We start from the raw sequence: 17,941 nt of genomic DNA, 5'->3' as shown, positions 1-17,941 counted from the left end.
AGAGGGCAGTCATTTCCTATGAAGGGAATAATCAGAATTCCTCCAGGAAGCAGTTCATTTAATAAAACAGTGGTCAACTAACAGTTGGGACTTAAAAACGACAACAGCAAAAGTATTCCCTTTTGATGTGTTTATATCACCTTTCACAGATGACTCTGTAATGCTTATTTGATTAATTAAAAACTCTTTAATTTGGGAACAGAAGGGTAACGTACCAGAAGCTCAGCCATTAGCCTGTTGTTGGAGTTTAGCTTATTGTTTTAGAAAGTTGATTTTAAATAATTGGGACAGTTAAAAATGCTGGTCTGAACTATGTCAGCTTCAAAGTGACTGGATCAGTGGTTTTGAGTGGCTTCTATTTTTGGTCACAAGCTACCTTGGGAATCTCATAAGAAGTGTGGACCTTCTTCTCCCAAGTGATGCACATCCATGCACAATTCTGCATTTATTTTAAAATTATCTTCCCTAAGGAACTTCTTGGACTCCAGGGTAGAACCTATTCTAAGTTGGTTATTGGTTGTAATGCAGCTGTTCTACTGAATGTACTTGCCTCCTTTTGTGTTTTTTCCCTGAGGATTCCCTAAATTTTGAGCCCATAAGCCTTTTTAAACTGAAAGGTTAGTAAATTCCCATATAGTATGTCGTGCTCTACAACTTGGCTTTTCAGTCACCTCTTATTAAAGGTTATGTTCTCACATATTATACAGATAATTGGGATGGGCTTTGGTAATTGGTAATTGGTAAAAGTTTCATGCTAAATCGCACATGGTCAGAAGACGAGAACTCTTAGGCCAACTGTCAACCGCAGAACTCTCAAATGTAAATTTAGCTTTTTAGGTTAAGAAACATTTCTTTCTTTCTAGTTTCTGGTCTTACTAGGTCATCTGAAAAATTCAATGATTTTTGGTCACTTTTAAGTGATTCAGTCCCTGAGCTTAAGGTATCAGGGACAAAGTACGATTGACAGTTGGCCTAAGAGTTCTGCAGTTGACAGTTGGCCTAAGAGTTCTGGCCGTGTGCAATTCAGCATGAAACTTTTACCTATTACCAATTACCAAAGCGCAGCCCAGAGTGGTATGTTATTGATTAAAATGAAAGCCCTCCATGGCCCAGGGTTGTGTATACACCTTCCCAGCTGTCATGGAAATTGGAGGTACTCATAGGGACAGAGTGACTCATAGGGGTATCTGTTATGATCATCAAGACTCCAGAGGTTAGCTGAGCCAGAAATTAATGTGTTCATTCATTCCTCCAAATAATTTATTTATTTATTTATTTTATTATTTATTTATTTTTGAGGCAGGTCTCACTTTGTCGCCCAGGCTGGAGTGCAGTGGCACCATATCAGCTCACTGCAGCCTCCGCCTCCTGGGTTCAAGCGATTCTCGTGTCTTAGCCTCTCAAGTAGCTGGGACTACAGGCGTGCACCACCATGTCCAGCTAAGTTTTGTATTTTTAGTAGAGATGGGGTTTCACCATGTTGCCCAGGCCTTTTTTTTTTTTGGCGACGGAGTCTCATTCTCGCTCTGTTGTCTAGGCTGGAGTGCAGTAGTGAGATCTTGGCTGACTGCAACCGCTGCCTCCCAGGTTTAAGCGATTCTCCTGTCTCAGCCGCCCGAGTAGCTGGGATTACAGTGTGCGTCACCACACCCGGCTAATTTTTGTTATTTTTAGTAGAGACAGGGTTTTGCCATGTTGGCCAGGCTGGTCTCAAACTCCTGACTTCAGGTGATCTGCCTGCCTTGGCCTCCCAGAGTGCTGGGATTACAGGTGTGAACCACTGTGCCTGGCCATCCAAATAATTTATTGTCTGCCTTGTACCAGGCACTGTGTTGAGTGTTGGGAAAATTGTAAACAATACAGGTGAACAACCTGCTCCTATAGAACTCTTTGCTTATCAAGGGAGAAACTTTAATTTAAAATGTACACATATATAACTCACTATAATAAGTGTTATCAAGTAAGTATATATAGGGTGACATGAGAACACATAACAAGGAACCTAATTTAGATTGGGTCAGAGAAAGCAAAGGTATGAGACTAGATGGTTATTGTAATGCGTAGAATGAAAGCTTCATTTCTGAAAAAGGTTTTCATATACAGTGCCTCTAAATATATGCTTATGTATATGTGTGAGATTTCAGTTTCAAAGTGTTGGACATACTAAATATCACTTTATATGATAATGTGGACCCATAATCAGTCATTACTATTAAGATTTTTCAAGTTTTCTTCATAACAGTGTTCTTTTTTCTTCCTCCCTTACAGTATACACTTTGGAATTTTCTCCCAAAGAATCTGTTTGAACAGTTTAGAAGAATTGCAAATTTTTATTTTCTCATAATCTTCCTTGTACAGGTAAGAGCTCCTTAAACAGCCACTTAACTTTTAGAAACTTGATTGCTTTAAACGAATTTTCAATCTATTTCTAACCTTAAAATGCCATGTAATTAAAAAAAGACATTCCAGAGCTTATTATGACTTCTTAAAGTAGAAACATAACATTTAAAGATTATCATTTTGTAAATTTCTAAAGTTGTGTTTTTACTAGAAAACCTGTTGAGATTTTGTTTCATTGTTACTTTCTTTGAAATTTTCATGGATATCATATTTTTGCTCATCCCAGGATGACGTGTATTGTGTACCATTAAATGAAATGGAATATATCAAAACTGAAAATAGTTCAAACTAGTAGTTTTATTTTGTTACATACCAGTTTCAGCCTAATTGGAAACTTCTCACTCATCTTCCTGATTACCATTTTTGCTCTCTCTCATTCATTTACTCACTGTAAGGGTGAGAGCCTAGTTAGATCAATCTGCTTCTCTGTATTCTTTCTACTGTTTTGTGTTTTAAATTTTAGACAGTTTAAATTGTGTCTTCCATCTTTAAATCTGTAAGCTATTAAAATCTTTTCCTCGCCATAATTACCCCTGAAAATTTTACTACATTAAAGGTACTTTTTTTCTCATTTCATTTTTTAAATGAAGCAGAAAAATCCCATTGAAGTTGCTCCAATGCCCTGTTGATGTTAAGTGCTTCTGTTGACTCACTTTGAGGCTTTGAGTAAATGGTACTGTAATTGAATTTAGCCTTGCTACTTAAAATCAGTCTGGGATATAATATGGGCAAGAGCCTATTTTAATCCTGAATGATGGAAGATTTGAAAAGGAGCTCCTCTGGATCTATGGTCAGATGTCTTACAGATATAGAATAAACTACCTAGAGGATTCTGCTTGAAAGAATCATTCTACTTGGTGGGCAGTGCATTTCATTTCAGTTCAGCAAATGTATACCACTCACCTACCTACTATGTGCTGTGCAGTAGGACAGACAACAAAAATGGTAGCAGGTACAATGAAGATCAAGATATGGCTTTTCTACTCTTAAAGAATTTATGCTATAGCTGAGAAGACCAGTCACATAACAGTTATGTATTCACTTAATGTAGTAAAGCCATTCAAGAAGCATTAACAGAATGCTTTGGGTATACAGTGTAAGTTATCATTTTTTTCTACCCAAGAGGAATTTGATAAGGCTTCAGAGAATAGATGCTATCTGAACAGAGCCTTTAAGGATTAGAAGGATTTACTTGGTGGAGAATGCTGAACTGGTATTTCAGGGATAGGGAAGAGATTGCCTAAAGTCACAGAGCCATGTAGAAGCCTTGCGTACATGGAAGTATACATTGTATCTACAACACAGGGTGTATGGCAGAGGCAGGGCTTGTTGAGGGTTGGAGATGAGAGTCAACGAGTTGGGAGGGCAGACTGAACTCAAAATCATCCTCCCTTAAATGTAGTTCTTTTTCAGTATTTCCTGTGTCAGTAAATGATGACAACATTCACCTAGACATGCTAACCCGATACTTGGAAGACATCTTTAATATTAGCATTTACATCTAACTCTTGGCATTTTTGCCTCCTAAATATTTATAGAACTTCTTTCCATGCCTGCCGCTAACACTAGTCCAAGCCCATCATCTTTCACCTAGATTACAGCAATAGCCTCCTAAATAGACTCCCTGCCTTCACTCTTGTTCCCTTCTAATTCATCTTCCACAGAGCAGTAAGAATGATCTTTTCAAAATGCAGTTCTGTTCATGTGACCTTTCCTTGCTTAAAACTTTCAAGGATTTCCTGCTATTTGTGGGATAGAGAATGAACAGCTTACTTTGGCCTAGAGGGCCCTGCACAGTCTGGCTCCTGCCTCCCTCTCCAGCCCCATCTCACACCACACTCCCTCTCGCCACTGGCTTCCTTTATTTCCTAGAGACCTGCATATACTGTTCACTGTGCCTAGAAAACTACCTTTCGTCTAGTTAACTCCTGTTTACCCTTCAGACCTCAGCATCTACACACTTGTTTTACTGTCTGATTTTTCCTGTAAGCTGCCAGCTACATGAAGGCAGGGACTTGTCTCCATCTTGTTTAAAGCAGTATCTCTAGAGCTTTGCTGATAATAGCACAAGCGCTGACAGAATGGTGCTCAGCAAATAGGTGGTAAGTGAATGGATATATTTCAATAAAGGGGTTAATCCAAGCTGGGATAAAAACTATGCCTGAATTTAGGACTATTTCTTAAACTAACTGCCATGTAGTTTGCTTTTGTTTTAATGAAAATTAATATTTACCCTACTACTGGAAAGTGTTTTGTCTATGTTTCTGTTTGAAATGTTTGCAGCATGTAAGTGCTGCATATGAGTTAATGACAAATTTTCATTTTACTTTCAATTTAATTTTATTTACCTAGGTCACAGTAGACACACCAACTAGCCCAGTTACCAGTGGACTTCCACTTTTCTTTGTTATAACTGTTACAGCCATCAAGCAGGTAAATTTCTTATTTACACTTGCACCTGCATTTCAGTCCAGGCTTGTTGGAATTTCATTGTCAAAGGCTCTTTTTCATATTTATATACAGTGGGTAGTATCCTTTATGGATTTATTTTATATTTGGTTCCTCTTGAAAACCTATTAAAATGATAGGCACATCCTTAATGTATTTCCTTGTTTCCTCTTAAATATCTGTGTATGTGGGTGTAAATGTAAAAGAAAGAGCAGGTAAAAGGTACAGCCCAGTCAGGAAATAGGAGGCAGATTTTTTAATGCATATTAATTGTTTCAGCGTGGTATGTCTGTGTGAAAAACTCCCATTTTTGTGGATTTTTAAAAATTGCTTAAGCCTGTAGCGAGAACTCAAGGGAAGAATACTTTAATTTTCTTGTTTTTTCCTTCTACTGCTTCAGGGGGTAGTAGGTAGAGGGGACATTTCCTGTTTTTTGTCAGAGCTGATAGACTGCCACAGATTGTGATATGGATGTCTTTGAAGTATTTTGAACATTTTGTATGCTAGTATGTTTGAAAAATTGCAGATGAAAATGGAAACAGGAAATTGGAGGTGAAAGGGTAGGTTAACAATGTTAATCATGTTTTGTGTCAGTCCACAGCATCTGACTATTTACAAACATATTTTTAGATGATATTTAACAAAGTGCTTTTAAAAAGGGTACCAAAGAAGCTTGCAAAACAAAGGTCTTCTTAGCATTATTGGGAACAAGATTACCTTTCCTCTTGGGGTTATCTGGTCTTATATCTTGCCTACCAGGAACTATAAGAATATTTTATCAAGTGTTCAGTTGCAAAATAAAGACTTTTGGAATGTTCTTTTCCTTAGACTGATAGGATTATTTTCTTTAACATCATAAAATTGCTGGTTCCAAGAATAGCATGTGTGGTTTTCAAAGGCTTTTTTACTGATTCATTCTGCTCCCAATACTGGTTCATGTTAGGACCTTTATTTCTTCACCAGCATCACAAAATGTACTCTATAAAGTGATAGCTTAGCATTGTCATAAAGAGGACAGAAGAAGAATGGATATAGTACCTGAGGGGAAAAAGTGGGGGGAGGCGATGAAGAGACTTTTCAAACAGTTGTGTTTGAAAAGGTACAGACATTCTTACAACGAAAAAAGACAAAGGTATATAAAAAAGGAGAGGAGGTCATGATCAAACATTCATGAACATCCTTTAGATCTTTTGGCTTAAATCTACTTTAGATGAAAAGTCCAAAGTAAAATGAGCCATTAGATCTTTCTCTGATTACTTTTAACTGGAAACGATGAATACCAATTTATATTTTCTTTTGTCACCAAGTCAGTTGAAAAGTTTAGCTGTTGATCTCTACAACTTATCATAGCTTCTCTGCCAAAACAATCCTTGCTTGCCTTTTCTATTATTCTCTGTGGGTGAGAAATAATTAAAATACTCCCTTGGAGATGATTACTCGAACAGTCTACTACAGCATATACAAAAGATTATATGTAAGTGATTATGGCTATAAGAAAATACAAACCCAGGACAATCTTTTTTCAAATTAAAAAATAGAATTAACTAACTCAAGAGTACAGTTAAAATAAATCATAGCCTTTCACACATGAAAATATTAAGTCTCCAGTGCTTGTGTTTTCATTAATGTTTAAAGAGTGGAGAAAACTTTTAACACAACAAAGCTATTTATCTAAGGAGTATTTTGAAAGTGTGTCTCAGATTTGCTATTAAAATGTGTAGCATTGTCTCTTTAGCATTCTGAGTTTAAATTAATGCTATAATTATAAATATTTGGTGTTGACTCATGGGAGGATATAGAAATTTATTAACAGCTTTATTTCATTATCAGAACTCAATTATATAGTTATTTTTATCTTTCAGGGATATGAGGATTGTCTGAGACACAGAGCTGACAATGAAGTCAACAAAAGCACTGTTTACATTATTGAAAATGCAAAGCGAGTGAGAAAAGAAAGTGAAAAAATCAAGGTATTTTTTCTTAGTCCACTCCTTTTTTAATGGTAAAAATACACCATTTTAAAGTGTATAATTTAGTGTCATTTAGTACTTTATAATGTTGTGCAACCGTTAACTCTATCTAGTTCCAGAACATTTTCATCACCCGAAAAGGAAACCCTATACCCATAAGCAGTCACTCCACATTTCTCCCTCCTCCCAGGCCCTGGCAATACTAACCTTCTTTCTGTCCCTATGGATGTATGTATTCTGAATGTTTCATATTTCTTATGTGTCCTTTTTGTCTAGCTTCTTTCACTCAGAATGTTTTTGAGGTTCATCTGCATTATAGTATATAGCAGCATTTCATTCCTTTTGATAGCTGAATAACATTTCATTTTATTTATTCACCAGCTGATGGACATTTGGGTTGTTTCTACCTTTTGGGTATTATGAATTGCTATGAACATTGAATTACAGTTTTTGTTTGAACATCTGTTTTTAATTCTTTGAGGTATATACCTAGGAGGAAAATTGCTGGGTCATATTGTAATTACGTGTTTAACTTTTTAATGAACCACTAAACTATTTTCCATAGTGCCTGTACCATTTTACATTCCCATCAGCAACATAAGAGACTTCCAAGGTAGTAGTATTTTTTTTTTTGACAATCTCAGGCAATTGTTTATTCCAGTTAATCATTGTTTATTATTTACCCAGTAAGACCCTGTCAAATAACATTTTTGACTTGTCCATGTCAAACACTAATTTTTTGGTTCTCATTAGATTTTTTAAATTAAAAAATTATATTTTTAGAGCAGTTTTAGGTTCACAGGAAAATTGAGTAGAAAATATAGAGAGTACCCATAAACCCACTGTCCCCAAACACATTTTCTCTGGCTGTCAACATCCCACACCAGAATGGTACATTTGTTACAATCAGTGAACCTATTTTGGCACACTATCACCCAAAGTCCATAGATTATATTAGGGGTCACTCTTGGTGTACATTCTGTGGGTTTTGTTAAATATAGGATACATATCCACATAGCCTACATTTGTATATATGTACATATGTATCCATAGTAGTGTCATACCAGGATAGTTTCACTGCCCTAAAAATCTTCTGTTCTCTTCCTGTTCATTCCTTATTCCCCCCAACCCATGGTAACCAGCGATCTTTCTGCTGTCTCTATAGTTTTGCCTTTCCTAGGATGTCACATATTTAGAATCATACAGCCTTTTCAGATTGGCTTCTTTCACTTAGTAATATGCTTTCAAGTTTCTTCCATGTCTTTCCATGGCTTGATAGCTCATTTGTTTCTAGTGATGAATAATATTTCATTTTCTGGATATACCATAGTTTATCCATTCACCTACTGAAGGGCATTTTAGTTGCCTCCGAGTTTTGGCAATTATGAGTAAAACTGCTATAAACATTTGTGTGCAGGTTTTTATATGGACATACATTTTCAATTCATTTGAGTAAATACAAAGAAGTGCTGAATTGTATGGTAAGAGTATGTTTCGTTTTGTAAGAAACTGCCAAACTATCTTCCAAAGTAGCTGTATCATTTTGCATTCTCACCAACAATGAATGGGAGTTCTTGTTGTTCCACATCCTCACTGGGTTTTGATGTTCTCAGTGCTTTGTATGTTGGCCATTTTAACAGGTGTGTAGTACTATCTCACTTTTGTCTTAATTAGCATTTCACTGATAACATATGATATGGACTTTCTTTTCATATGGTTCTTTGTCATCTGTATATCTTCATTGGTGAGATGCTGCTTAGATTTTGCCCATTTTTAAAGCAGGTTGTTTTCTTATTGAATTTTAAGAATTCTCCATATGCCCAACAATAGTTAAATTTCCTTGCATCATCTTATAGTAATGATGGGAGGAAGACTACAGAGTGGGAGGGTCACCAGTGTTTGACATAGAATGTCTTCCTTTTTCTACTTTTTCTTTTCTCTATTCTTTACATCCTGGTCAAGGGGGAACTTGTGCCGAACTAGGTTAGGTTAAGATCTGAAGTTTTTGAAACAACTGTAGAAACTCAGCATTATTGATCAGCGTAAGAACCAAAGGCAGACTGAGTACAGTGGCTTACGCCTGTAATCCCAGCACTCTGGGAGGCCAAGTTGGGTGGATCGCTTGAGTCCAGGAGTTGGAATCCATCCTGGGCAACATGGCAAAACCCTGTCTCTCCAAAAAAATTAGCCAGGCAGTCCCAGCTACTTGGGAGGCTGAGGTGGGAGGATCACCTGAGCCCAAAAAGTTGAGGCTGCGGTGATCCGAGATCGAGCCACTGCACTCCAGCCTGGGTGACAGAGTGAGACCCTGTCTCAAAAAAAAAAAAAAACCAACAACAGTAACAACAAACAAAGGCTGCCTAAATGATTCATAGCATCCAATCTGTTGTTCCCAGTACACTACGTAAAATTGCAAAGCAGGCAAAGGCCTCTTACATCTCTCCCTTTCTTTCATTTCCTCTTTCTGATTTTGTTGACACTCCACCCCACTCCCCTTTACAAAGGCCCCCATTTTTCATTTTCCCTCCACCAAGCTTCTTTTCCTTGAGGCTGAACTCAACCAGGTATAATCTTGATTAAATAAATGTGAAGCTATTGTGATTAAATTATTGTGTGAGATGCTATTTGATGTAGCTGTTTCTGGAGTGTAAGTGTGTGGGAAGAGATGCTTATTAGCCAGCAGTCTCTAAATAGCAGATTGCTTGGCTGGGGAGTCGGGGGAAAGAGTTTGTTGAGACTCCTTTTGAGCAAGAGAGAGACTTGGTCTGCATCCTTAGTGTGGTGGGGAGTCTTTGAAGTGTTAAAGCCGGAGAGTGACTTGATGATTTTTAAAAATAAAACTGGAGTGAGGCAAAATGAAAGCATGAATGTGCAATCAGAGAGATATAGCTTAGGCAAAAAATGATAAGGGCTTATATTAGGATGATAGTAGTATTGATAACAATAATAAAAATAGTAGTCACCATTTATATGGTATGTAGTATATGCCAGGCAGTCTTTTTTTACATTCTGTTAACTCATTTAACCCTCAACAACAGCCATATGAAGTAGGTATTTTTATTATCCTCTCTTTACAGATGATGAAACCGAGGCATAAGGAGGTTAAGGAACTTGCCCACTACTAGTAAGTTGGAAAGCTGGGATTTGAATTAAAGCAAGCCTAGGTGTAGAGTCCATGCTCTTAACCACAACTCTTTACTACCTGTTTAGATTTTAAGGGAAATGGATATATTCAGGATATTTTTTGGAGGTAGAATAATCAGGATTTAGTGATTTAGGATGTAGTGGGTGAGAGAAACAGAAAAAAAAAAAAAGAATAATTAAGATAGCCTTCCTGGTTTTGGCCTGAGCAACTGAGGGAATTACATAGTGCTATTAAAGAAAATGCTAGTGCTTTTAAATAAGATGGGAAAGCCTAGGAGAAAAACAGATTTAGGGACAGAGGTGGGAGTGAAGAGAAATCAGGAATTCACTTTTGGCTATGTTAAGTTTGAGAAACCTATTAGACATACAGTTGGAGTTGTCAATCCTGGAGCTCAGAGGAGGTGTTTTAAATAGAAGTTGAAATTTGGGTGTCATCAGTCTGTACATACCGTATGATGCCATGAGACTGGATGGAATTTCATACAGCACAGAGAATGAGACTTATAATAGGACTTGAGGAATTCCATTGTGAAGACACTATTATTTTTAATGGAAGGAGTATTTTTTGGCGTCCGAAATATCAGAAACTAGATATAGTAAGACACCTCTCAATCATATGTCATGCTTTAGTGCCAAATAGAAATAAAAGTTATACTCTAGTACTTCAACCAATGAATCAACCAAAATATATTGAAATATTGTGCTGAGTTACAGAAGGGTTACAAAGAATGAAAGAGATGGTTCATGCTCTCAAGAAGTTTTATAGTTTAGCTTAGTAGTCATGCCACATAATGCTAAAAGAATAAAAATACAAGACCATAACTGGTCAGAACCCAGTGAGTGCGTCTGAAAAAAAAAAAAAAAAACTCTGAATTTAGAGAACGGGAATGAAAACAGTTTTCTCACATGAGATGGGCATGAAATAGATTGTAAAATTCAGAGAGGCAGAGTGTGAAAACATATGGATTGGGGCAGAGAATGAGGAACAATGCTAAGAGGTAAAGAAGCTCCTTGGGTAAAAATGAGGTGTTAGGTTAGATTTAGTAAAAGGAGTTGATTTGAACATCTTTTCTAATATAAATGTTTAATGCTATAAATTTTCCTCCAAGTATTGCTTTAGCAACAGCCTACAAATTTGGATATATTATGTTTACATTTTCATTTAGTTTAATATTTTCTGATTTCTCTTTAATTCTTCCTCGATTCATGGGTTATTTAGAAGTTTGTTATGTAATTTCTAAATATTTGGGAATTTTCTGGTTATTATTATTTTGTTTTGAGATGGAGTTTCGCTCTTGTCACCCAGGCTGGAGTGCAATGCCACAATCTTGGCTCACTGCAACCTCCACCTCCCGGGTTCAAGCAATTCTCCTGCCTCAGCCTCCCAAGTAGCTGGGATTACAGGCATGCGCCACCATGCCCGACTAATTTTGTATTTTTAGTAGGGATGAGGTTTTACCATGTTGGTCAGGCTGGTGTCGAACTCCGCAGGTGATCCATCCACCCCGGCCTCCCAAAGTGCTGGGATTACAGGTGTGAGCCACCGTGCCAGCCTAGATACCTTTTTGTTATTGGTTTCTAATTTAATTCCGTTGTGTTCAGAGAGCATATTTTCATTTTCTCATTCACACCCTTTGTGTTATTGTTGTCATACGTTTTACTTTTACATTTTATAAAGCCCACAATATGTTACTATTTTTGCCTGTGAGTTGTCTTTTTTGGTAATAAAATATATAAAATAAACTTTACCATTTAACTTTTTTTCTTTGAGATGGAGTTTGCTCTTGTTGCCCAGGCTGGAGTACAATGGCGTGATCTTGGCTCACCGCAACGTCTGTCTACTGGGTTCAAGCGATTCTCCTGCCTCAGCCTCCCAAGTAGCTGGGATTACAGGCATGCGCCACCATGCCCGGCTAATTTTTTTGTATTTTTAGTTGAGACGGGGTTTCTCCATGTTGGTCAGGCTGGTCTCAAACTCCTGACTTCAGGTGATCTGCCCGCCTCAGCCTCCTAAAATGCTGGGATTACAGGCATGAGCCACCGCGCCAGGCCCCATTTAACCATTTTTAAGTAACCATTTTTAAGTGTACAATTTATTTATAGTAAGTACATTCACAATGTTGTACAACCATCACCACTATCCATTTCCAGAACTTTTCCATTATCCCAAACAAAGCTCTATTCATTAAACAGTAACTTCCCATTTCTCCCTTCCTCAGCCCCTTGTGGCCTCTATTCTATTAATACTTTTTGTCTCTATGAATTTCCCTATCCTCAATACTTTATGTAAGTGGAGTTGTACAATACTTGTCCATTTATGTCTGGCTTCTTTCACTTAGCATAATGTTTTCAAGGTTGATCCATGTTATAGCATGTATCAGAAATTCCTTCCTTTTTAAAGGTGAATAATATTCCAATTTATGTATATAACAGTTTGTTGATCCATTTATATGTTGATGGACATTTGAGTTATTTCTAACTTTTGACTATTTTGATTAATGCTGCTGTGAACATTGGTATATAAGTATCTGAGTTTTTCCCTTTGATTCTTTTGAGTATATAACTTAGAGCAGAATTACTAGGTTGTAATTATCTTTTTAAAACCTTTTTTTTTTTTTTTAAGACAAGAGTCTCACTCTGTCACCCAGGCTGGAGTACAGTGGCACGATCTCGGCTCACTGCAGCCTCTGCCTCCTGAGTTCAAGTGATTCTTCTGCCTCAGCCTCCTGAGTAGCTGGGGTTACAGGCATGTGGCACCGCACCTGGCTAATTTTTGTATTTTTGGTAGAGACGGGGTTTTGCCATGTTGGCCAGACTGGTCTCGAACCCCTGACCTCAGGTGATCTGCCTGCCTCAGCCTCCCAAAGTGCTAGGAGTATGGGTGGGAGCCACCGTGCCCAGCCTAAAACTGTTTTTAAAAGATTAACAATAAGAACTATATTTTATATTTACCCACATTTTTTCATTTCCCTATGCAGATTTAAATTTTCATATAGTATCTTATTTTTTATCCATGAAGAGCTTTCTGTAGTATTTTATAGTGTAAATCTGCTGGAAGTGAATGTTCCTATGGAAAAGTTTTTATCTCACCTTCAATTACGAAAATTATTTTTCTGGCTATATAGAATTATGGGTTAGAGGGGTTTTTTTCTTTCAGTACTTTAAAGATATTACTCCATTGTCTTCTGATATGCATAGTTTCTAATGAGTCTTTCATTTCTATTCTTGTTCTTGTGTATATAATATTTCTTTGATGCCTTTACATTTTTCTTTCTATTTTCAGTTTTCAGCAGTTTGACTATGATATACCTACATTTTTTTCATCGTAGTTATCCTTCTCGAAGTTCTCTTGGATCTATTGTTTGTCGGCTTTGATTAACTTTGGATAATTCTTGGTCATTATCTTTTTGAAATATTTTTTCAGACTCATTCTCTCTATTCTTCCGGTACTCCAATTACATGACTATTATACTGTTTGATATTTTCTCCTTTGAGTAATTTGTTGTTTTTTTAAGTACACTCCTTTTTCTCCTGTTTATATATCACTTTGGATAATTTTAGTTGCTCTGTCTTCAGAATTAGTGATTATTTCCTTTGTTGTACCCAGTCCACTAGTTGAAGGAAATCTTCATCTCTGATAACATGGTTTTCATTTCTGACTTTACATTTTCATTTTTTTGTAGTATCCCTCTGCCAGCATTCTTCGTTCACTGTTACATGTTGTCTACCTTTTCCACTAAATACCGTACCATTTAATATCTTTTTTTTTTTTTTTTTTTTAAGAGACAGGGTCTTACTCTGTTGCCCAGGCTGGAGTACAGTGGCGCAGCCATAGCTTACTGCAGCCTTGAACTCCTGGGCTCAGGCAGTCCTCCCACCTCCATCTCCAGAGTAGCTGGGTCTATAGGTGTGCAACTACACTTGGCTAACTGTTATTATCATTTTTTATAGAGATGGGGTTCTGTTAAGTTGCCGAGGCTGGTCTCAAACTCCTGGCCTTATGCGGTCCTCCCACCTTGGCCTCCCAGAGTGCTGGTAATATAGATGTGAGCCACCACACCCCACCCATTTAACATCTTAATCATAGCTGTTTTTAAGTCCCTGTTTCATAATTACAAAATCTGGACATTTTGGGTCTGGTTTCATGGACTGCTTTATCTTTCAATGATGGCTCATTTTTTGCTTGTGTTTTTGTGCATCTCATTTTTTAATTGAATTTTGGGCATTGTATGTAAAAGAATGGTATTCACTGAGGTCAGTGGTATATGTGTTCTGAAATGGGCCTGGCTTCTTCTGTCAGGCCACTAGTGTTGGCGGTTGAGTCAATCTAGTCAACAGTTGGGCTGGCTTTGGTTTTTGATGTTTTTAATGTGTCACTTAACTTCAAATTCCTTAAGTGGTAGAATGCCATTACCTTGAGCTTTGTGTGGGGCCTGGTGTGCCGGAGAGTTTTTTATGGTGTTCCTGTTATACTATCTGCTTTCAGCAACATCCTATATTCCCGAGTCCCAGAGGTTGCCCCTCCCCGCCCCACGTTCCCTTGCCTTTTCTCCAGTGGTAGACTGCTATTTCTTGTTTGTTACTCAGTGTAAGGCTCTTGGCAGGAACAGAATGATTTCTTGGTTTTCTCATTCCAATCACAATATTAAGCAGGCCATATGCACCAAAGCCTCAGGGTAAGACTTTCTCAATATCCTCCCCCCTCATAGTAACTGAACTTCTACCTTGTATCAGCACCAGGTTATTGGTATGATAGGTTTCCTGTCCAATTCCCTGTAGCAGGTCCCATCCCCTGTAGCAGGTCACTTTTGTTTCTACCTCTCCTCTAACAGTAGTGATGTTTCCCTGAGACTATGCCAGGGAAGGTTTCCTGCCTTTCTCCTAGATGCAGATGACATTTGCTTAATATGAGAAAGGGGTCTATGATTCTGGCATGGTTTTTTTGTGCCTATTTCTTCACAGCAGTCACCACCTGTATGCCCGTGCCAGTGAGAAAGGTTCTTTTAGGTCTCCTGCCTGTATGCTTTCTCATGAACACTCAGTAGAAGCCTCTAGAGAAGAGCTGGTGAATGGTTGTGGTCTCTTCTTGTCTCTCAGGCTTGTAGAGATTCTGAACTGTCATACTAGCTCACACCCAGTCTTTAGGAATTGGTTAAAAATCTAGTTGTTTTCTTCTTACCCACTTTCATGGTAGCCATCTCTTCCTTCTATGCTTGGTCAGTTATGAAACAGTTCATCTGTCCTGTCTCTCCTCAGAAACACTTGTTACCCTTTGAAATTCAGTTCACTTGGTTGCTTTGCAACCTCAGCTCTCTGATGGACTAAAAAATACGTATTTGTTTTTAGATTATCCATTTTTTCCTAATGTTTGTAATGGGAGGTGGTGATGTTCTCTTGTGGCTTTTAAAATGGTAAATAGACCTCTAGAGTTCATTGTCTAACTAGATCATGTTATTCCCTGTCTTTAAAAGTCCTGTACCTATCCTTTTACCTTTAGAGTGAGGCCTAAATCCCTTAGGCTGGCCTGCTAAGCCCTTTGTGATCTGACTCATACCCATCTTGTCAGTCTGAGCTTGCACTGCAGATATAGGGGCCTTTATATTTCATATCTGACTACATCCTAACTGTTGAAAAAATGCTCTCTTTGTGTGTTTTATTTATCAATGCCTGAGAGTCATCTTCCGACCTCTAATGGGTATCTCCTTCTTGTAAGATGTGTTAGGATTCTGTTTGTTATCTCTCTTCTGCATATTTAAGCATAAATTGTGGTTTTGTGTAAGCAACATAAGTGTTTATGTAAGTGAGGAAGGAACAATCCAACAAAATAAAATATTATTTACAAGTTAGTTCAATTATTGATGCTGTTGATCTTGGCTAGTGATTAAGATTGGCAAAGAAAATAAAATTCTTCCTGAATAGGTCTTGAAATCCTCATCTTTATCTGCCGAATCATATTGCAAATAGAAGTTGGGTGTTGCATGTATTACCTAGCATTTCACAGTCAGTGTGTCTAGGTCAGTGTGCCAAATATTGACTCCCTTCTAAAGTGGGTTATCTTCTGCATCCAGCAGCCTCTTCCCTTTACCTGAAGGTGCTGTACAAAAGTATTATTTATAATTTTCAATATGTACCATGGTGTGAAAATCTTGGGAAGGACCAGACTGGAGGATTTCTTATATCTTTCCAAAAAAATGTTATGACTCTTCATAAGTTGGGAGTAAAGTAGTTGCAGGATGTTAGTAATAATTATAATTAACACCTTTGAAGTAGTTAATATGTGCCAGGCACTTTGCTCAGTACTTTTCTTGTATCATCATTTCATGCTCACATTAATTCTCTGAGGTAGTTGCAATCGTCTAAGACACTTATTTAAGGTCATATAGTTAAGTGGCAGAGCTGGGATGAGAAGTCAGGTTAAAGAGTCCAAACTTTTAATGGTTATGATTTACTTAACCCTACATTATTAAATTATTCATGATTTCTTCTCTCAGGTTTTTCCTTTCCTTGAGCTTTGGGTACTTGCTGATAAGAAATTGTTTCTCATTGCTATATTAAGTGATTCTCCTGACAGCAGATGAATTCATAGAAAGTGACCTATAGAAAAAAAAAATTCAAATATTTTGGGAAAAATCAATGCCTCTCTAATTAACTGGGATTTTCTGAGCACTGAAGAAGGACCTGGCACCCAACAACACAGTTGTTACCACATGGCAGGCAAAGTATGTTGAAGTATGCGTGGTACAGAGTGGGAGTGTGGCTGTTCAGTGTTCATGAAGTGCCCAGTTTGTGACATGTTGTAGATTTTCTTGATTCATTCATGAAGTGATAATGTCATTGTCTTATCAAACATTTGTGCAAGAAATATCAGAGAGCAAACGGATGTCAGAATCATTTATTAAAGGTAAAGGTCAGTGCTAAGGTAATCTGAAAGCATCCTAAGTCCTTCTAACCTTAAAGAGGATTCTGAATATTGAGTAATATTCTTTCATCACCTTTCACATGATGTAGGATGCTGAGATACTCTCAAAGCCCCAGAGCTAGAGATAATCTCTTGCTAATGTTTTGACTTTTGTATGAGTGTAATGAATGCTTTGTTTGGAATTTAAAATATTTATATTTATTTCTCAATTCCAGGTTGGTGATGTAGTAGAAGTACAGGCAGATGAAACCTTTCCCTGTGATCTTATTCTTCTATCATCTTGCACCACTGATGGAACCTGTTATGTCACTACAGCCAGTCTTGATGGGGAATCCAATTGCAAGGTAACAGACTAAACCTTGCCTAAACATTTTGATCTCAGGATAGTTAATCATACAATACTGCCTCCCATCACCCTCTAATCTTTTATTTTTTCTTATTTTTATTTTTTCTTAGGTTTTATATTTGAAAAGAGCTGTTATGTAATTGTTTTTTAACTTCTAAGCAAACACTCGTGTTTGGGTAAAAGGGTGGTAATTACGTGTGGAAAAACTGAGCCCCAAGTAAAAGCTACCACAATTTTTATAGCACTGCTTGAATTTAATATTGACACAGCCTATTTAATATTTAGACTCTAAAATGGGAGTAATCATAGGCTTAAACTGTGTGACTATACAAATAACTTCATGTATGCTAACCTTACAATTTGATCTATTTTTTTCTAAAATGTATATTTTCATTAAAAATGTATATTCTTGGGATGTAGGAAACCCAACCTGGAGTAATTTGATTGCTATTTAAAAATAATACTTAGGGCTGGGTGCGGTGGCTCACGCCTGTAATCCTAGCACTTTGGGAGGCTGAGGTAGACGGATCATTTGAGTTCAGCAGTTCGAAACCAGCCTGGCCAACATGGTGAAACCCTGTCTCTACTAAAAATACAAAAAAATTAGCCGGGCATAGTGGTGGGCGCCTGTAATTCCAGCTACTCGGGAGGCTGAGGCAATAGAATTGCTTGAGCCCGGGAGATGGAGGTTGCAGTGAGCCAAGATCACGCCAC

General features: G+C 37.4%; 1 protein-coding gene across 21 annotated transcripts in view; it reads left to right on the top strand.

Annotated features, from left to right (window-relative positions):
- ATP11C (ATPase phospholipid transporting 11C (ATP11C blood group)) overlaps positions 1-17,941 on the top strand; it is a 210,556-nt gene that overhangs the window by 115,208 nt on the left and 77,407 nt on the right. For all 21 annotated transcript variants that reach the window (XM_047442018.1, XM_047442024.1, NM_001353810.2 and 18 more), the window contains 4 exons: positions 2,269-2,358; positions 4,753-4,833; positions 6,711-6,818; positions 17,097-17,225. In XM_047442018.1, the coding sequence (XP_047297974.1) occupies positions 2,269-2,358; positions 4,753-4,833; positions 6,711-6,818; positions 17,097-17,225 (408 nt within the window). The remainder of the gene's footprint in view (positions 1-2,268; positions 2,359-4,752; positions 4,834-6,710; positions 6,819-17,096; positions 17,226-17,941) is intronic.

The sequence above is a fragment of the Homo sapiens genome, chromosome X (assembly GCF_000001405.40).
Source record: "Homo sapiens chromosome X, GRCh38.p14 Primary Assembly".
NCBI classification, from domain to species: domain Eukaryota; kingdom Metazoa; phylum Chordata; class Mammalia; order Primates; family Hominidae; genus Homo; species Homo sapiens.
Note: the sequence above shows the minus strand (reverse complement) of the source record. Positions and strands in the feature narration are given on the sequence as shown.